Source organism: Homo sapiens, chromosome 11, assembly GCF_000001405.40.
Source record: "Homo sapiens chromosome 11, GRCh38.p14 Primary Assembly".
NCBI classification, from domain to species: domain Eukaryota; kingdom Metazoa; phylum Chordata; class Mammalia; order Primates; family Hominidae; genus Homo; species Homo sapiens.
In genome coordinates, this window is record NC_000011.10 from 65,801,421 (window position 1) to 65,822,135 (window position 20,715).

At 49.9% G+C, this 20,715-nt stretch overlaps 1 protein-coding gene across 1 annotated transcript in view, besides 4 other annotated features; it reads right to left on the minus strand.

Moving 5' to 3' along the window:
- LOC124902693 (uncharacterized) overlaps positions 1 to 20,715 on the minus strand; it is a 44,799-nt gene that overhangs the window by 12,420 nt on the left and 11,664 nt on the right. The window contains exon 4 of the mRNA XM_047427980.1: positions 1,941 to 2,044. The gene's annotated coding sequence lies outside the window, so the exon portion shown is untranslated. The remainder of the gene's footprint in view (positions 1 to 1,940; positions 2,045 to 20,715) is intronic.
- Positions 6 to 726: an enhancer, noted in NCBI's record as "H3K4me1 hESC enhancer chr11:65568897-65569617 (GRCh37/hg19 assembly coordinates)". NCBI's record gives its function as "activates a minimal SCP1, AML or CMV promoter by ChIP-STARR-seq in naive H9 embryonic stem cells {active_cell/tissue: H9 hESC(naive)}" and the evidence as "EXISTENCE:reporter gene assay evidence [ECO:0000049][PMID:30033119]".
- Positions 1,274 to 1,463: an enhancer, noted in NCBI's record as "active region_5006". NCBI's record gives its function as "activates an Ori minimal core promoter by ATAC-STARR-seq in GM12878 lymphoblastoid cells {active_cell/tissue: GM12878}" and the evidence as "EXISTENCE:reporter gene assay evidence [ECO:0000049][PMID:35858748]".
- Positions 1,684 to 1,773: an enhancer, noted in NCBI's record as "active region_5007". NCBI's record gives its function as "activates an Ori minimal core promoter by ATAC-STARR-seq in GM12878 lymphoblastoid cells {active_cell/tissue: GM12878}" and the evidence as "EXISTENCE:reporter gene assay evidence [ECO:0000049][PMID:35858748]".
- Positions 16,592 to 17,051: a silencer, noted in NCBI's record as "silent region_3557". NCBI's record gives its function as "represses an Ori minimal core promoter by ATAC-STARR-seq in GM12878 lymphoblastoid cells {active_cell/tissue: GM12878}" and the evidence as "EXISTENCE:reporter gene assay evidence [ECO:0000049][PMID:35858748]".

Below are 20,715 nucleotides of genomic sequence, written 5' to 3' on the forward strand. Positions count from 1 at the left end.
GCTGAGCTGAGTGGGATGGAAGAGACAGCCGAGCAGACAGCAAGACCTGCAGCAAGGTGGCTCCCTGCACTGAACCTGGACTCGCCACGGGCAGGCGCTCCCCTCTGATCCTCTCACTGTCCTCTGGGTCCACTCCCTCGGGCGATGGCAGCCACCTGACCCAGGATGTCCCGCTCTTTTCACAGCCAAATCTCTCTTCCTGAGCTCTGGAGTCTGTCTGGCTCCTGCTCTCCCACCTTAGGCTCCAGGGCCTGGCTCTTTCAGTCCCTACAACCAACCAGTCAGCTCCCAGTTCACCGCCCTCCCCCAACACCCCAGCTCTCCCAGGCAGAGGTGGCATGGAGGCAGCGGAGGCGGCAGGCAGGCTGCATGTGGGGGCTCAGGTACCTCGCCCCTGTGGGGCCCATGCCAGGGGTAGGTTGACTCAAGTGTGGAGATCGGGGTCTTGGGCAAGGGCGCTCCTTTGTGACTTAGATCTTCCAGGCTCTGTTTCCTGATTGTAAGAGCTGGGTATCAGTGCCTGATTTCCTCCGTTCCTCACTTTCTGTCTGTGACATGATTCCATACAATCCTACTTTGATCAATCTTTTAAAATAGAAAAAAGGCTGGGCGTGGTGGCTCACGCCTGTAATCCCAGCACTTTGGGAGGCCAACGCGGGCAGATCATGAGGTCAGGAGATCCAGACCATCCCGGCTAACACGGTGAAACCCCATATCTACTAAAAATACAAAAAAAAAATTAGCCAGGCGTGGTGGCACGTGCCTGTAGTCCCAGCTACTCGGGAGGGTGAGGCAGGAGAATCACTTGAACCCAGGAGGCAGAGGTTGTAGTGAGCCGAGATCACACCACTGCACTCCAGTCTGGGTGACAGAGCAAGACTCTGCCTTAAAAAATAAAATAAATAAATAAAAATAAAATAAAATAGAGTAAAACACAAAGAAAACAGATCATTTAAAATGTGCTCAGAGGCCAGGTGCAGTAGCTCACGCTTGTAATCCCTGCACTTTGGGAGGCGAAGGCGGGAGGATCACCTGAGAGCAGGGGTTCAAGACCAGCCTGGCCAACATGGTGAAACCCTGACTCTACTAAAAACACAAAAATTAGCCGGGCATGGTGGCACATGCCTGTAATCCCAGCTACTCAGGAGGCTGAGGCAGAGATCGCTTGAACCCAGGAGGCGGAGGTTGCAGTGAGCCGAGATCGCGCCACTGCACTCCAGCCTGGGCAACAGTGTGAGACTCCATCTCAAAAAAGAAAAAAAAAAAAAAAAAGACCAAGAGTTCTTGGGGCAAGATTTGGCTTTGGGGCCAGAAGTAAATAGTCCTGTAATAGCAGCTAATCACGACTTGCACTACCTGAGCTCCTACTACGTGTCAGGCCGAAGCCTCTGACATCATCTCTAGTCCCCAAAACAACCCTAGGAGGTAGCTATTATTGTTGCTATCTTTAGACAAAAAAACTGAGGCTCAGGGAAATTAACCATCTTGCTCAAGGTCACACGGTGAGCAAGTGGTGAAGCTGGGCTCTGACCTGACGCCTGCTAGACTCTAAAGTTTGGGCTCTTGTCTCTCAGGTCCTCAAGTGCTTATGAAACTCCTTCCCTTTCAGTTCTTCATTTTGTCTCCGAACATTCGGTCTCTGCACCCACTCTGTGCCGGGGCGGTGCTCAGGTTTTGAGGGTGCAAAGATGCCTAAGATGACCTCCGTCCAGAAGGTCACCTTCGAGTGGGGGAAACAAATATGGCCCAGTCCAGGCAGCGGAAGAGGAGGGTGAGAAGTGGAGACTGGAGGGGGCCAGGCTGCCCCAGGGCACAGAGACTCCACCACCACAGACTCCACCCTCCAGCAGGAATCTCTTGAGCTCCCGAATGTCACCCCATGTCAAGACAGTTGAGAAAAGACAAAGGAGGAAGAAATACTAACACGGGTGGGCACCTACCTGCCATCTGTCTGGCATATTGCACATGGCATCTCATTTAATCTTCCAGCAACCCTGAGAGGCTGGCACTGTTACTGTCACTTTCTAGACAAGGGCAGTCAAACCTAAAGAAGTTAAGAAACAGCCAAGGTCAGCCCACGTTCCCTGCAGAGCGGAGTGTCCCGGCTCCGAGCCTGGGCTCTCTCTAGAGCATGCCACTGTCTTTCCAAGAATGTGTAGAAGTAGAAGGAAAGAGAGTGGGGACACCCCAAAGCCCAACTGCAGGGAACTAAACCCAAGACCCGGAGGGAGACCACAGGTGCCCGGGGCTGGCCCCGCCATACCATTGTCAGGTGTGTTTGCTCCTGCTAATGTCGCAGCCACAGCTGTCTCTTAAATGTCCCAAACCTGGAGGAAGGGTGGGACGGAAGTGCAGGAAGGAAGATGCTGGGGGATCCGGAGTGAGCGAGGACATTCCAAACCCACAGGAGCTCTGGAAGGAACTCCCGACGTCCATCCCCGACATGCCCTGAACTCCTCCCTACAGTTCCAATTTTCCAAAGTAATGATCTTGGTGGGTAAGAAACTCATCCTGTCCTCACCGCCTCGGCCTTGGAGGGCCAGTCCAGCCGGCTCCCTCCGCCTCTCCCCGTTGAGGACTCCAGGCAGGTAACAGGCCTGAGCGCTTCCCTCCCCATGCACAGCGGACAGGCAAGACCAGGAGGACTGGAAGGACTTGTGTCCCTGTCACCAGCAGCACAAATGAAGCCGCCAGAGGTAATAACAGGGCAAGGGCGCGCTCACCAGCTCTCAGGCCGTGCTAGAGCACGGGCCCTGGAGGAGTGGGGTTCCCTGTGTGCCAGACTGGTGGTGCCTCCTGCCCTCCCTAACCAGCACACTCTCCTCTGACTCAAACGCCCCCTAACTGTTTGCTCCCCTCCACTCCCTTCCGGGAGCTGTAAGAGGTTCCTGCCAGGGTTCTCAGAAGCCTTGTGTAGGGACCTCTGTGGGGCCACCACAGCCCTCAGGCCACAGCCCTGTAAGAGAGGTGGTAGGTGCTGGAGTCAGGGCAGAGGGGCTGAGAGCTGCCCTGGCTGAGTTTCATGCCCAGGTGGGGAGGAAGCGTTCCCTAAGGAGGCGAGGAGCCCTCTAAGAAGTTTGATTTGTTTGGGGTTTGAAATTTCAGCCTTAATATAAAGAGTTCCTACATATCTGTAAGAAAAATAAAAGGTGGCCGGGCGCAGTGGCTTACACCTGTAATCCCAGCACTTTGGGAGGCCAAGGAGGGTGGATCACCTGAGGTTGGGAGTTCGAGACCAGACTGACCAACATGGAGAAACCTCATCTCTACTAAAAATACAAAAAATTAGCTGGGCGTGGTGGCATATGCCTGTAATCCCAGCTATTTGGGAGGCTAAGGCAGGAGAATTGCCTTAACCCGGGAGGCAGAGGTTGCGGTGAGCCGAGATCGCACCATTGCGCTCCAGCCTGGGCAATGAGAGCGAAACTCCGTCTCAAGAAAGAAAGAAAAGAAAGAGAGAGAGAAAGGACGAAGGAAGGAAGGAAGGAAGGAGGGAGGGAGGGAGGGAGGCAGGCAGGCAGGCAGGCGTGGTGGCTCACGCCTGTAATCCCAGCACTTTGGGAGGCAGAGGTGGGCAGATCACTTGAGCCCAGGAGTTCGAGACCAGCCTGGGCAACATGGCAAAACCCTGTCTCTACTAAAAAAAAAAAAACACAAAAAATTAGCCGGGCATGGTGGTGCGCACCTCTAATCCCAGCTACTCAGGAGGCTAAGGCATGAGAATTGCTTGAACCCAAGAGGTGCATGTTGCAGTGAGCCAAGATTGCACCACTGCACTCCACCTGGGCAACAGAGCAAAAAATAAAAATATAAAAAATAAAATATGTACCATGGGAAGCTGGCAAACAGTATGGATTATTCATAAAACAGCTTCAAATGATAACAATTATATGAAAAAAATTCAACTTCATTCATAATCCAAGGAATAAAAATGAAAATTAGGTATCTGTTACCTATAAGCAAGTCTATCAAGGCCCAGTGTGGTGGCTCACGCTTGTAATCCTAGCACTTTGGGAGGCTGAGGCGGGCGGATTGCTTGAGGCCAGGAGTTCAAGACCAACCTGGCCAACATGGTGAGACCTCCATCTCTAAAAAAAAAAAAAAAAAAAAAAAAGAGGCTGGGTGTGGTGGCTTGTGCCTGTAATCCCAGCACTTTGGGAGGCTGAGGTGGGCAGATCACCAGGTCAGGAGTTTAAGACCAGCCTGACCAATGTGGTGAAACCCCGTCTCTACTAAAAATACAAAAATTAGCCAGGTGTGGTGGCACGTGCCTACAATCCCAACTACTCAGGAGGCTGAGGCAGGAGACTAGCTTGAACCTGGGAGGCAGAGGTTGCAATGAGCCGAGATCATGCCATTGCACTCCAGCCTGGGCGACAGAGCAAGACTCTAGCTCAAAAAAAAAAAAAAAAAAAAAGCCTATCATAAAACTAGTTATAATATTGAAAAAGTAGAAACAATCTAAATATTTAACCTGAGTACATTAAAAATTATAATTAAGTAAGCTGTGTGTGGTGGCTCACACTTGTAATCCCAGCACTCTGGGAGGGCAAGGCAGGCGGATTACTTGAGGTCAGGAGTTCAAGATCAGCCTGGCCAACATGGTGAAACCCCGTCTCTACCAAAAAATACAAAAAAAATTAGCCGGGCGTGGTAGCGTGCTCCTGTAGTCCCAGCTACTTGGGAAACTGAGGCACAAGAATTGCTTGAACCTGGGAGACGGAGATTGCAGTGAGCTGAGATCACACCACTGTACCCTGTAGCCTGGACAACAGAGTGAGACCCTGTCTCAAAAAAAGAAAAACTATAATGAAATATGTGTATCTCTTAAATATGATGGCAAAAAATATTTCAGGAAAATGCTTACAATATATTAAATTTAAAAGCAGGTTCCAAAACAGTATTATGGGGTAGGCACCCTTGTCATTTTTATAAACGTAAGTCAGTCCATATGTCTGTAGTAAAAATCATGGAAGTAAAAATCTTAAATTCTTGTTCAATGGCAGAATTATGACTTTTATTTTCTTTTTTCTATATTTCGTACTTTTTTCTACAATATTCCCATATTGCTTTTGTAGTGAAATCTTCTTGATGATTTTGAAAGAGTCCTTCAGGAAGGCAATGTTGGAATAATTGGCTGCAAAAGGATGTTCTTCATTGAACAGTGAAAATTCTTGCCAATTTAGGCCGGCCGCGGTGGCTCACGCCTGTAATCCCAGCACTTTGGGAGGCCGAAGCGGGTGGATCACTTGAGGTCAGGAGTTTGAGACCAGCCTGGCCAACATGGCGAAACCCCATCTCTACTAAAAATACAAAAAAATTAGCAGGGCTTGCTGGCGGGCGCCTGTAATCCCAGCTACTCAGGAGGCTGAGGCAGGAGAATCGCTTGAACCTGGGAGGCAGAGGTTGCAGTGAGCCGAGATTGCGCCACCGCCCTCCAGCCTGGGTGACAGAGTGAGACCATGTCTCAAAAAAAAAAAAAAAAAAAAAACATTGCCCATTTGATGGTTATAGAAATGGGCTGGGATGGCAATGGGTGGGAGGAAGGCCGAGGGAATAAACTGCTCCAGATCCAGGAATCCTGATTTTTGATGTTACCATGAAATCTAAATGTGTAGAAAGCACAAAGAATCTGGAGTCCCCGGACACACAGTTTGAATCCTACAGCTGCTTTGAGGAAGATGCCTTAGCTTTCTGAGACTGACTGTTCATAAAGTGGAAGTAAGAGCAATGTAGGATGATGGTGAAGATTAAGATAATGAGTTGCTTTGTGAAGCAGAAAGCTCTAAACAAATGCTGGATGCAGCAGATAATAACATCCATGTCTGGTTTAGCTTCGGTAAGATGGGCGGTGGCTGCTGTAGTTGAATTTGCCCTGACTGCTGAGAACGCTGGGCACGTTGCAGCTGAGAGACAATTTTCCCATAGGGTACAGGCAAACTCTTGGATTTTCCGGTCCACAGTAATACAGAATATAAAAATAAACTAGCTGGGCACGGCGGCTCATGCCTGTAATCCCAGCAACTCGGGAGGCTGAGGCAGGAGGATCACATGAGCTCAGGAGTTTCAGACCAACATTGTGAGATCCCGTTTCTGCAAAATATTTAAAAATTAGCCAGATACAGTGGCAGGGCCTATAGTCCCAGCTACTTGGGAGGCTGAGGTGGGAGGATCACTCGAGCCCAGGAGTTTGAGGTTATAGTGAGCTATGATGACACCACAGCATTCCAGCCTGTGTGAACAGAACGAGACTCTGTCCCAGAATTTTTTTTTTTTTTTTTTTTTTTTTTTTTTGTGAGAGAGTCCTACACTGTTGCCCAGGCTGGAGTGCAGTGGCAGGATCTCGGTTCACTGCAACCTCTGCCTCCCAGGTTCAAGCAACTCTCCTGCCTCAGCCTCCCGAGTAGCTGGGATTACAGGCATGCGCAACCACGCCCGGGTAATTTTTTTTGTATTTTTTAGAGATGGGGTTTCACCATATTGGCCAGGCTGGTCTTGAACTCCTGACCTTGTGATCCGCCCACCTCAGCCTCTCAAAGTGCTGGGATTACAGGCGTGAGCCACTGCACCCGGCCTAAAAAAATTTATTTTAATTTAAAAAATTAAGTAAAAATAAACTTATTCTGAGTTCAGAGGAAGGTGTTTGGTGACCTGCTGACTACCCTTTCAGGAGTGAATATACGGCCCCTGATGAGAACCCCTGGTTAGTCGTGTGCTGAGCACTGGGAAGGAGAGAAAACGGCACAAAATGGAGACACCTGTGACCTCCTTCACCTATACCTGCTTACTGATGTTTTGGCGAAATGCTTGGGGGCTGAGTTGGGTGGACCGAGGATGCCAGAGCTTGTCATCTAAGGAGGCTGGGAGAGGCTGGGTGGTGGTTCCGGTTAGATGGGTCTCCACCCTGCACGAGATAGATGGGCAGGCTCATGAATCATGAGCCCCTCGTGTTCATAACTGATTAGCTAGTTTGTTGCGGCGCCACTCTTGACTTTCCCACAATATGGGCCCTGACATCCTCAGAGGGTACCACGTTCTTCAGTCCACCCAGATGAAATGGATTTACAAATCCAATGATGAGCTTTCTGAGTACTGACTGTGTTTGGAGACTCGTTCTTGACTGTGCCACTCCAAGTCCTTCAAATGAAAGACAATGTTCACCCTTTTTTTCCTTCCTTTTCTGCTCCTTCTAGGATACCCCTCGCCACGTTTTCTGTTTTACCTCCTTTTCTTTCAAGGAATCATTTTAATTGCTCTTCCTCTCCTTGTTCCTCAGTTTCCCTCACCTTCTCCTCATGTCCTCCTCTCTCTGCCTCTGGATCTAGCCAGCGTCTTCCTCTGTGCTCTTCATGTCACAGGCACCTGCCACCAGGAGCCACCGATGCCAGGCTGTCCTGAGCTAACGCACAGGGAGGACTGTATGACGAGGGAGTGCAGACGGCAAGACAGCCACTCAACAGCAGAATGGGGGCTGCCCTTGCCGCCCAGGCCACCCAGGCTGTGGCTCCTGAGCTGCGTGGTCCTCCCTTCATCACTCGCCCCCTCTCTGAATTCTCCCACAGCCTTTTACAATCTTTTCAAACAGCTTTTCTCCCCATACTCCTGCCAGCCCTCCTCCCCTGCCCTCCCTCCGAAGGAGCCCTTGGATTTATCCACACCTGCTGGTGCCAACATGCCCCAGACTGAACGCGCCACTCCAGGTGTGGTTTTGCCTGGTGAATGGAGAGGCACGGGGCGGCTCTGTGTCCAGAGGTGGGAGAGGCCGTCCAGGGCCAGCCTTGCACCTGGGTTCAGCCAGCGCAGCTGCCCCCAACCATGCCAGGCCGCTCTGTTGATCCCCGCTATCGAGCGGAGCGTCAGGACAGGAGCTTTTGCTGTCTCCTTCCTGCCTCAGAACCCCACCCACTATGTTTTTTCTCATCTGAATCTCAGTTCGAAATCTCCAGCCCAAGGGGTTTCCCAACACCTCCTAGTTTTGAATCAACCTGCTGATGCCAGCATTCCCAGATGAGGAATAGAGATGTGAGGTGGGACCTGGCCTGGCACTGCGTGGTGAAGACACTCCTGTACCCGCAACGGTCATCCAACTGGTGGCATCTGGACAAACAAACCCAGTCCCCTCCTTAGCTTCCATGAAGGAAAAAAACAAGTGGGTACAAGCTGAGGACACGGCTGGGAGTGGAACTGTAGGAACAAGGACTGGCCAGATGGCGACACCAAGGCGGCCATGCTCCTACCCTGAAGCCGCAGCTGCAGGTCTGGTCTGCACCAGGTGGTCCTCTCCGGCAACCAAAGAATTCTCTGCCCCCAACAGTGCCTCGGTGGAAACCATGCCCAGTCTCTCTCGGGGTCACCCCACAGGAATATGCCTTTTAGTCCCCCACCTATGGCTTCATGGGGAAGACTTCTGGCAGCAGAGGCCCGGGCATGGCAGCAGGAAACAGAGAACTGGGTCAGTCTTCTTCTTTGTCCTACTGTGGCCTCGGGGTCTGGTCATTCTCCGAATGGGGCTGAAGGACAGCAATAGGGCCAGAACGGCAATCTGGGTCTGTGCATCATGTTCTAGCCAACAAAACATCCCACCTTGGATTTTATTTTTTAAATCTATTCAAAGCTTCGGTTCCGCATCCAATTCCCAGAGAGGCCATCCCCTTGTCCAAATGGGCAGAGTGGCATGCCAGCACTGAGCCACCTCTGGAGGGGGCTGGCCACCTCTGGATGGGTCGGCACCCTCTCACAGGGGTGAACACTGCAGACTGGAACTGAGCTTCTCTCTGCTCCTCTGATTTGAGGAGAGAGCACACCTGATACCACAGCAAGCACTTGTTCTTGGCACTTGGTGTCACTCTTGCTTCATCTTGGCTCAGCTTAAACCCTTCAACTGAATGGTGGCGATCACCACAGAGGAGAACTCTCTTCTTCCCCCTCCGTGCCACATGCACACACATGCACACTCACACACACGCACACAATTGTACACACATGCACACTCACATACGTGCACAATTATACACACACGCAATCACACACACATGCACTCACATGCACACACGTAGACACACGCACAATTGCACACACATGCACACGTGCACTCACGCGTACACACTCGCACACACATGCACACTCGCACACACGTTGAGACGTGCACTCACGTATACACTCCCACACACGTTCAGACGTGCACTCACGTGCACACTCGCAAACACGCACACTCACACATGCACACTCACACACATGCACACTCACATGCCCGCCAGGGCAGGAGCCTGGCTCTCCAGGAGGCAGGGCAAGTGTCCAGACAGAAGGATGAGAGCCATGTTGTGGCACAGGAGGGCCCCATGGTGGATGATGGGGAGGAAGGGCCATGTGGACAGGCAGGGGTGGGGTTGGGAGGGGCTCCTCATCTTTCCTGAGCAGGGCCCGGGTGGAACCAAGTCTCCTGGAATTGTTCATTGTTGACTTCACCAACATATTCTTAAAACTTGAAATTGCTCAGAAGATAATCTAACAGCACAAACATGCACACATAAACAGTAAGAGTCCCTTGGCATCAAACTGGCAAACTGTGGTGGCAGAAACACAGGAAGGATCCACTCCCGGTGTGAGGCTTGCTGTCCCTCCCTCTTCAATGCGCTGGCTACCAAGCCTTTGCCAATCCCCAGTGCAGCAGTTCACAGACTTTTTACTGCTAAGAACGGCTTTTGGCAACCCCAAAAATGTGATGTGCCCTTTCGGTGGGTAGAATTAATTGGCGTAATAGAACGTGTCCTCCTCTCAGGCCTCAGCACTGCTGCTGCATCTTCGCAGCCTCTCTCAGCCTCGGTTCTGCCACCTTTCCTCACTCATACAACAACAGGCTCCTCCTATCGAGGAGGTAATGAGCTCCCACTGGACTTTGGGGTCCTCTAGAGTCACCTGCAAACTCCACTCCTCCCTCCCAACGTCGTCTCTAGAAGATTCCTTTGTCCTCGAGGCTCTCCTTTCAGTGAAGGACCCTCATGAGGACACAGTGCCTCCTCTGGGACACACAGCCATAATACTCTTGTCATAAGAAATCCAACTCCTTGACCGGGCTTGGTGGCTCACGCCTGTAATCCCAGCACTTTGGGAGGCCAAGGCAGGTGGATCACCTGAGGTCAAGAGTTCGAGACCAGCCTGACCAACATGGTGAAACCCCATCTCTACTAAAAATACAAAAATTAGCTGGGCGTGGTGGTGCGTGCCTGTAATCCCAGCTACTCGGGCGGCTGAGGCAGAAGAATCACTTGAACCCGGGAGGTGGAGGTTGCAGTGAGCAGAGATCATACCACTGCCCTCCAGCCTGGGCGACAGAGCAAGACTCTGTCGAAAAAGAAAAAGAAAAAAGAAAAGAAAAGAAAGAAATCCAACTCCTCTGCTACCCATGAGGGAAGGTGGCTCAGGATGAAAGGGAAGTTTGACAATCCCTAAATATCACAGGCTTAAGAAGAGCCATTACCCAAGAAGTCGTGTGGAAAGAGCTGCCGGCCTCAGCCACAGCTGTCCTCTACCCACACTGCCGCCTGCCGCAGGCCACAGCACCGTCAGCCGAAAAAGCCCACTGATATCTGGGTTACAGGGCTTGAGGCTGCCTTGATTTCTGGCTAACAGCTGGGCCGTCCTCGGCAAGAGCTCTCCTGGGAACGGGTTGGGGAGATTCCCCGTGCCCTGTCATTCTGATGTCTCCCTGCACAAGGGAGCGGGTTAACCATGTCCTTGCCACCTCATCTTCGAAAACAACTCATAAAAGCGCATCAGAGGAAACAGTCTTTTCATCCCACCTATCATTAGTTCCCAGAACAGGGGCTGGAAGTAGGCAGCCTCCCTGGGAGTTTGCGGGATGAGGCAACACCGGCGCCTGAGCTACCATTTAGCCTATTTCTAGAGATAAGCCTGTTGATGTCAAAGTAAGGAATGACCAACTCCAGCCAACAGCGCCCTGTGGGACTGGGTCTGTGACATCTCCTTTCTCCCAGGCACCATCCCCAGGGCAGGAGACAGGAACCCTAGATCGTGGGGGTTTGTGAACTGACCTAGGTAAATAATAACAAGTTGGGCTGCACTCTCCTTGAGGTAATTCAAAGTACTTTATCACCATTACCTCACTGATCTTAACTAACATCCAAGGAAGGAAGGAAAGAAAAAAGGCAGAAGCTTTCTCATTTCCTAAAACAAAAGTGAATGGGGGCTGGGTGCGGTGGCTCACACCTGCGATCCCAGCACTTTGGGAGGCCAAGGCAGGTGGATCAGCTGACGTCAGGAGTTCGACACCAGCCTGACCAATATGATGAAATCCCGTCTCTGCTAAAAATACGAAAACTTAGTCGGGTGTGGTGGTGGGCACATGTAATTCCAGCTACCCAGGAGGCTGAGACAGGAGAATCGCTTGAACCTGGGAAGCAGAGGTTGCATTGAGCCAAGATCTCACCACTGCACTCCAGCCTGGGCAACAGAGCAAGACTCCATCTCAAAAAAAAAAAAAAAAAAAAAAAAGTGAATGGGGAGTGGGAGCTTTTAGGTGAACCAGCTCCTATTCACCTATGGTCAGTGAAGAATAAGTACCTCAAATATACACAATAACACTAATGGGGATGGGGGAGGGCATACAAATGAACTCCAAAGCCCTGACTGTGGCCCATAGCCAGAGAAAACAAAAAAGATTCCTGATTTGGGGAGAGGAGTCCTCAACTGGGAGTTTGACAGTTCAGACTGATTTCAAAAGACAGGCTGAATTTTACCCCTCTGTGCTAGAAAGGGTATCGAACCATAAATTCCCCCTGCCCTGACTTCACCAAACTTTGTAAATAACAGAGACGCGCACCCGAGTAATTAGAAGAAAAAGCTAAGTGGCTTGTCAGCTAAGTGGCTTGAGTAGGCATAGGTGTGGCTGGAAGCATTCTGTGTATTTTCTCTACAGCCAAATGTGTAAACGGTCAGAAATACTAGTTTAATGAGCTTATAAATTTGGAGTGACTCTTTACATCTGACAGTGAGGTCTGGGGTTCAACTATTTCACCTCTGAAATCAAAGAGGCTGTGATGGGGTATTCATCTCTTACCAATTCTTTTTTTTTTTTTTTCTTTTTTTGAGATGGAGTTTCGCTCTTGTTGCCCAGGCTGGACTGCAGTGGCGCAATCTCAGCTCACTGCAATCTGTCTCCCGGGTTCAAGCAATTCTCCTGCCTCCGCCTCCTGAGTAGCTAGGATTACAGGCGCCCACCACAACGCCCGGCTAATTTTGTGTATTTTTAGTAGAGACGGGGTTTCATCATGTTGGCTAGTCTGGTCTTGAATTCCTGACCTCAGGTGATCCACCCACCTCGGCCTCCCAAAGTGCTGGGATTACAGGTGTGAGCCACCACGCCCGGCCCATCTCTGACCAATTCTTCCAGAATGTTCCACAGGTTTCTTCTTCACACTTTATGATTCTATTTTACTGACCCAAACAATTCGCCCTCCAATGTTTCGTGGAGGGGATAACAACTCTGGGTATTTGAAGATGTTTTCTGACATCTTATCTGTTTCCTTCCCTCCTTGGTCTGCGCTGGGCTACCTGAAATGCCTCCTACACGCGCGCTTCCCTTATGAACATTCATTAGATGGGTACTTGTCCTGCTTAACTCCTACAAATTCACAAGTTCTCTAATGCTCAAATTCAAAGCACTTGCATCTCTAGGTAATCACTGTTTGCTAAAATGCTCTTTAGCTTTTTCTATCTACAATGTTTCTAAACGTTAATTTAATTGAACTTAAAAGCGATTGTGCATAATGTGCCGCAACTTGGCACTCAGCTCATGTAAACAGTGTCTTGCTGACAGGGTAGGTCTAGTGCAGGAAATAACCGCGTCAGCAGCGCTGTCCCACATAGGACTACAAATCCATGACAGCCTCAGGGGCTCCCCACGAGGCACAATGGGTGATGTCATTCTTCTGGGGCTTGGCTAGGCCATGACTGGGTCTAGAGGCACTCTCTCTTCCCAGTCCGTTTTTAGAACTAATATTTGCAATGCCACTTCCACATTTCCCTCTATTTCTGATTCATGTCAGCCTGAGGCCTGAGACAGAACAAGCCTGCAGCTGAACACATGGTTACCACTTTTTTTCCAGAACCTTAGGAAAACGTTGTTAATGTTCAGGGCTATGAGTGACCTTGCCGTCCCACATCATGGAACTATTTATTAAACAGATGGATGGACAACCTTATAATTAGGTCAACTACGTATACTCCGATTCAAGCCCTTGGTTTCATTCCTTTTCTCTCTAAGATTAGGGAATTTCTCAATGACCAATAACGCAGAAATACACCCCCTCACATCCCGAGGGAGATTGCTCAGCCTACAGCCACCCCGTGAAGATCCCATGACTTCTGGCATCTGCCCTAATAACCCAAGTCTCTTATCTGTGAGTTTTGGTTTGTCAGACCCTGTTGTTCGCATTAATCTTCCTGTGCCTGTGAGGACAGAACCCGGACAAAGTGGGAGTCCTGAACCTGCGTATGCTGGTTGAATAGGTAAACACCCTCAGATAAGGAGGCCTTGGGAAAACCATTGTGACGTCCTAAGAATGCAAGGTGTAAAAGTTCCAATCCCACTCTCCCACCCCTAAACCAGTTGAGACACAGACCTGCCCTTCCCCAGGTTGACTTGGCCCGACTAGATAGCATCTGCAATCTGCACTCGCTCCCTCCCTCCCAAGTGAATCAGTCCCCAACCGGTTACCTCCCCAGGCTCCTTGGAGACAATGCCAAGTACAGCCTAGGGGGTGATGGCTCCATTTGAGGAGCCTGGCATCTTGGAGAGTGCCACCCCAATCCCCCGCTTTGGGCAGGTGCATAGGGAGGACTCAGGAAAGAGGTGTTCTGCCATGGACCAGTCCAGGTCCAAAAAGTCTCGAGAAGCGCCCGGGAGCCAGGAGAAAAGCCGAGAGATGAAAGGAGATGCCTGAGGTGCCGCAGCCCAGGTCTGAGCCGGGCTAGAAACCGCGTGACAAAACAAAGATGCGTTCTTAGCCGTGATGGAACTCCCAGATTAGCTTGGCTTTCTTCCTTTTGTTTTGTTTTGTTTTATTCATCTCTGTCGCATCTATTTTCCTCTGGGCATGTGACACTTCCACTCTTTCTCTTCTTTAGTCCTCTTCCAGAAGTTCTGTTCTGTGCTGGATTAGGTCAGGAGTGATGGATTGTTCTTATACACACGGGATATGGTGGATGAATGTGTTGATCTGACACTCACTGAGAGTTCTAAACAGGGAATTATAGCAGTGACAAGTGGTGAAAGACATGGCCCCTGCCTCTTGAGCTTCTGTGGGACCCAGCAGGCTGGAGGGGCGCACCCAGCTTTATGCATCTGCCCTCAGGAGAGCTGCACAGGCTCCAATTTTTCTACTTTTATTTTTAATTTAATTTTTTTTTTGAGATGGAGTCTCACTCTGTCATCCAGGCTGGAGTGCAGTGGCACAATCTCTGCCCCCCAGGTTCAAGCGATTCTCCTGCCTCAGCCTCCCAAGTAGCTGGGATTACAGCTGCCTGCCACTGCGCCCAGCTAATGTTTGTATTTTTAGTAGAGACAGGGTTTCACCATCTTGGCGAGGCTGGTCTTGAACTCCTGACCTCGTGATCCACCTGCCTTGGCCTCCAAAAGTGTTGGAATTACAGGCGTGAGCCACCGCGCCCGGCCTCAGGCTCCGGTTTTTCTAAATGAAAGCCTCATCTCTTACTGACCCACTGGGTAACTGAACCCTTGATTTTCATGTAAGACTGATCTCTTGGCCTGGCGCAGTGGCTCACGCCTATAATCCCAGCACTTTGGGAGGCCAAGGCAGGCAGATCACCAGATCAGGAGATTGAGACCATCCTGGCCAACATGGTGAAACCCCGTCTCTACTAAAAATACAAAAATTAGCTGGGTGTGGTGGAGTGCACCTGTAATCCCAGCTACTTGGAAGGCTGAGGCAGGAGAATGGTTTGAACCCAGGAGGCAGAGATTGCACAGTGAGCCAAAATCACGCCACTCCACTGCAGCCTGGCGACAGAGCGAGACTCCGCCTCAAAAAGAAAACAAACAAACAAACAAACAAACAAAAACGGATTTCCCGCTGGTAACAACTGGTTAATTAGTCTCTGGTTTTCTGTCCTTCTAGTCAAATGCTCCAGAAGAGCTCTGTATTTAAATACGCCCAAGTATGAATCTCTGGTCAAGTGAAGACTATTTCTAGAAAACAAGTAAGTCTTCCCAAATTCATCTGCCTCAGCTAGGACTGGCATAAATCACTTTTTCTTGAATTGGTCTCCATTGCATATCCCATTTTCTTCTCATCTTTTTTTTTTAATTGCCAAACAAGATGTATGCCACCCAAGCCACAAAATGGCAGGCAACCAATTTCTGTCCTGCTACATCCAAAATTCTCTAAGGTTCTACAAATATGAGCAATGATTACCAAAGGACTTGTGCTGTAAGGGAAGAAGAGGAACTGGAAATATTCCGGCTAGTGCCAGGAGCTCTGGGGACCCCAGCTCTGCCTGGCTGCCTGGGTCCAGTCATTCCGAAGGAGATAATGTCTATGGCTGCTGATAGGTCTCTCTGGTGACCACAATTTCAGAACTGGAAATTGGTGGTGGTCTGATGCGTAGCCTAACAAAGGGCCAGTGGGCCAGTCCTCTGTCCCAGAAATTGAGATTGTCCCAGAAATCTGAGGCCACATGGTTGCCCGCAGGACAGCTCTAAGACACCATTTAGTTGATTAAAGCAGATGTTCAAACTCTCCTCCAATCCCACCTATCTACTCACAATTTGCATCCCCCCAACCCCCATCAGTCTCCTTTTTTTAAAAAAAGAGATATGCTAGGCCAGGCATGGTGGCTCAGGCCTGTAATTCCAGCACTTTGGGAGGCTGAGGCAGGAGGATCACTTGAGACCAGGAGTTTGAGATCAGCCTGGGCAACATAGCAACACCCTGTCTCTAAAAAAAAAAAAAAAAATTAGCCAGTGATGCGTGCCTGTGGTCCCAGCTAGCTACTCGGGAGGCTGAGATGGGAGGATCGCTGGAGCCCAGGAGGATGAGGCTGCAGTGAGCTCTGATTGTACCACTGAACTCCAGCCTGGGCAACAGAGCCAGACCCTGTCTCCAAAAAAAGAAAAAAGATAAAGAGAAATGCTAGTGGTAAAAAAACGTAACTTAAAGCCTGTACATTCCCCGCAGGGGGGTGTTTATGGCCTTGTATCCAGCTGGCTCTTCCCAGATTCAAAAGCAATTATTCCAAAAGAATGCTTTATGGTTAAAATTAAACCACAGTCCAAAAGCTATTAGAACTGGACTTTGAACAAATGCCAAAGAGGACAGTTATGAACATCTTCTTGACAGAAAAAGAAAGAGACCCACCAGAAGGAAGAAATCTAAAACAAACAAAAAATTAAGTAAAATGTTGAAACCTGTTCAACCACCCTATTTCAGATAGAACGCACTTTTTAACCACATTAGGAAAGCGAAACTCGCCGTGGGTGGGGTGGAAACGCTGCCAGGTCATCCTGTCTAAAGAAACTCTGGTCGCGCCTACCTGAGGGACGTGCGGGCGCGGCTCGGCCCCCACGAGGCGCCCCGACACCGCGCCGGCCGCGCGGCTCCCGCAGGCACAGCGCCCGCCCCGGCGAGCACCAGTGCATCACCCCGGTGACGTGGGTCACCTGCCCTGATGCGTTATTCCGCCGCTTGATGAAGAAACCAGCATTTAGGAAAACACAGAGGCGCACATTAGCGTGCACGAAATCGCCCGAGGGAGCTGAGAGCTGGCGAGGTCACGAGTGCCGGGCTCCGGGCGGGGGGTGGGGCAGGGCGGCGGGGCAAGGCCGGGGCGGGAGCGGCGATCCGAGGCCGGGTCAGCAGCGCCCCCTCCTGGAACGCCGGGAGCGCCGCGCGCGCGGATGCCGCTCTCCTTCCAGCCTGGCGCGCCGCTGCCCCCTATCGGACAAACGCTTTGACCGTTGGCTAAAGCAAGTATCAGACGTCAGCCCCTCCAGGTGGCAAGCACGCCTGGCCAAGCCTCAGTTTCCACATCTCTCAAATGGGAGCGATGGCAACACTATCTACCCTTGCACACCTCAGAGGGTGACCAGGAGCAAATGAAGGAAGCACCGCTCTTTCTTCCTGGGCCGGCCTCGCTGCTTAGGCCCCAGCAAAATCCAGGTCGCCTCCCCGAGGTCATCTTTGTCCCCCGTGTCTGAACTGGGAGCACAGTTATAAAACCAGTCATGTTGTTCTGAGAGTGGCGTCTCTCTTCCAGTAGCTTCGATAACTCCACAAATGTATTTAACATAATTTTCAAAACATTTTTTCTTATAAGCATGTATCATAATTTAGTTTTCCGGCAATTATCCATTCACTGTCTAAATCCCCCACCACACTGTGAGTCCTGGGGATGCAGGGACCTCCCTGTCACTGTCATTGTTGTGTCTCCAGAATCTGCCTAGCACAGTGCCTCCCACACAGTAGGTGCTCAATAAATTGCTGTTGGAAAAATACATGGATGAAGCCTAGGAGCTGGAGGCTAGGCAGAAACAGAAAGGACAAAGTCAGATACGGGGGGAAATCCTATTTCCAGAATGGTATCTCAAGTGACTATTAAAAATGCGGCGCCGGGCGCGGTGGCTCACGCCTGTAATCCCAGCACTTTGGGAAGCCGAGGCGGGCGGATCACGAGGTCAGGAGATCGAGACCATCCTGGCTAACATGGTGAAACCCCGTCTCTACTAAAAATACAAAAAAAATTAGCCGGGCGTGGTGGCGGGCGCCTGTAGTCCCAGCTACTCGGGAGGCTGACTGCAGGAGAATGGTGTGAACCTGGGAGGCGGAGCTTGCAGTGAGCCGAGATCGCGCCCCTGGACTCCAGCCTGGGCTACAGAGCGAGACTCCGTCTCAAAAAAAATAAAAATATAAATATAAATAAATAAATAAATAAATAAATAAATAAATAAATAAATAAAAATTAAAATGAGGCCAAAGGCCGGGTGCAGTGGCTCATTCCTGTAATCCTAGCACTTTGGGAGGCCGAGGTAGGTGAATCACTTGAGGCCAGGAGTTCCAGACCAGTGGGGCCAACATGGTAAAACCCTGTCTCTACTAAAAATAGAAAAAAATTAACTGGGCGTGGTGGTGTGCACCTGTAATCCCAGCTACTGAGGAGACTGAGGCATAAGACTCTCTTAACCCTGGGAGGCAGAGGTTGCAGTGAGCCGAGATTGCACCACTGTCCTACCTGGTGACAGAGTGAGACTCTGTGTCAAAAAATAAAAATAAAAAAGGCCAGGCACAGTGACTCACGCCTGTAATACCAGCACTGGAGGAAGCCAAGGTAGGAGGATCACTTAGGCCCAGGAGTTCAAGACCAGCCTGGGCAACAAGATGAAACCACGGCTCTGCAAAAAATACAAAAATTAGCCAGGCACTGTGGCGTATGTCTATAGTTTCAGCTATTTGGGAGGCTGAGGTGGGAGGATTGCTTGAGCCCAGCAGGTGGAAGCCGCAGGGAACCATGATCACACCACCGCATTCCAGCCTGAGCAACAGAGTGAGATCCTGTCTCTAAATAATAATAATAATTAATAAAATAAAATAAAATAAAAATGAAAGGCCAGGCACAGTGGTGAGTGCCTATAATCCCAGCTACTCAGGAGACTGAGGTTGGAGGATCACTTGAGCCCAGGTGTTCTAATCCAGCTTGGGCAATGTAGGGAGACACCATCTCTATTTTAAAAAGAAAAGAAAGAAAAGGTGGGGATGATGAAAAAGGTTTTTAAATAGAAAGCGGTGGTGGTTGCACAACATTGTGAATGCACCAAATGCCACTGAATTGTAGGCTATAAAATGATTAATTATATGTTATATGCATTTCACCTCAATAAAAAAAATGAAAGGGCAGAATTGTAATATAATCATTATGATCATTCCTGCTTTAGACACTGCAAATACTTGATGAAGTCAACATAAAGAGAATAACTTTTATAGAGTGTTCTACAGTTGACATAAATGTTTTCATATAAATGATTTCATTTGTCCCTCCCAACAAGCCCATTAATTTGCAGACGAGGAAAACAGGATTGCAGATCAGTGGCTTCCTTCCAACAGGTAGGGCACACTCCCCCTCGGGGGCTCTGCCCTTGAGGCTCCCCGCTATGAAAAGACTTCCTCCAAACCACAGCTTCCCCCTCCCCTCTTGCTGGGCTCTGCTTCAAGGGTCACCAGAAGGGCCTTCCTCAAAGAGCGGCCCTCCTCCCCATCGTCATTCTCTCTCCCTTACCCTGCTTGAGTTTTTCTTTAAAATTCTTAGGACATATTATATTGACATTATTTCTTTTTGTCTCCTTCCACAACAATGTAAGCACCAAGAGAACAGTGCTATTTGTCAGTTTTGTTCTCTGTTATAATCCTGACATCTGGAATGGTACCTGACAAATAATAGGTGCTTAATAAATATTGTTAAATGAATGCATTTGTTAAAGGAATAATAACTTTACCATGAACTTGGCCAGATCTTTTGAGGATCCAAGGCTTTTTAGGTCACACCACAAAAACAAAATTACAATATGATGGAGATAAAATACCAGTTGTGAGAGGCCTGTAACAAAGCGCTACCCAGTTCACTGATTATTACCTGCGTGTGCTCCACTTATCCCCCAGGGAGGCACCTGTCTGTTGTATCCCTGGCTCCCAGCATGGTGCTGGACACCTAGTATTAGGCACTGATCTGCATCAGTAAGAAACAATGGATTCTGAGCAACACAAACAAGAACAGAACTGGCTACAGTGCACATCCCGGTCCCACCCTAAGTGTGCATATGGCAGGGAACGGGGAGTCTCTGAGGACCAGAGGAAGGAGGACACGCAGGACAGGGGCCAGAGTCCAGGGAGCAGCAGAGCATGGCCTTCTGAGCCCCACGTGATTTGTGTAGAAATAGCTCCCGAGACCAAGCTGATCTGCCATGTAAACCTCGCACGATTACTTCCTGTTCCCAGGGGAGAACTTGCAGGGCTAGCCTCTCGTGAGTGGGGTCAGCATGGTCTGACAGGATGGATGACCCCTGTGCTATGGACAGTGAGCCTCTGAGGGGCAGGGGCCACTCCATAATACTGTCCAGTGGCCTCTGAGAAATTCCTGGCCAGCACTGGCCGCCTTCCTCCAGTTCCTGAGCCAGGCAGCCAGGTGTGATGGAAAGTTGTCAGGTGTAACTCAAAGAACATAGATTAAGAGTCTAGAGGCCGAGCGCAGTGGCTCACACCTGTAACCCCAGCACTTTGGGAGGCCAAGGCAGGTGGATCACCTGAGGTCAGGAGTTTGAGACAAGCCTGGACAACATGGTGAAACCCCATCTCTACTAAAAATACAAAAATTAGCCGGGCATGGTGGCAGACACCTGTATTCCCAGCTACTTGGGAGGCTGAGGCAGGAGAATTGCTTGAACCCGGGAGGTGGAGGTTGCAGTGAGCTGAGATCAAGCCACTGCATTCCAGCCTGGGTGACAGAGCGAGACTCTGGCTAAAAAAAAAAAAAAAAAAAAAGCAAGAAAAGAAAAGAAAAAGAGTCGACTCCTGCACTTTGCTGGCAGCTCTGCTTCCTGCACCTGTTTGAACCTGTATCTCTAAGGGCAGTATACAGATTGCAAACAAAAACTCACACAAGCATGAAATGTGGTCATTTGCCCAACCTGAC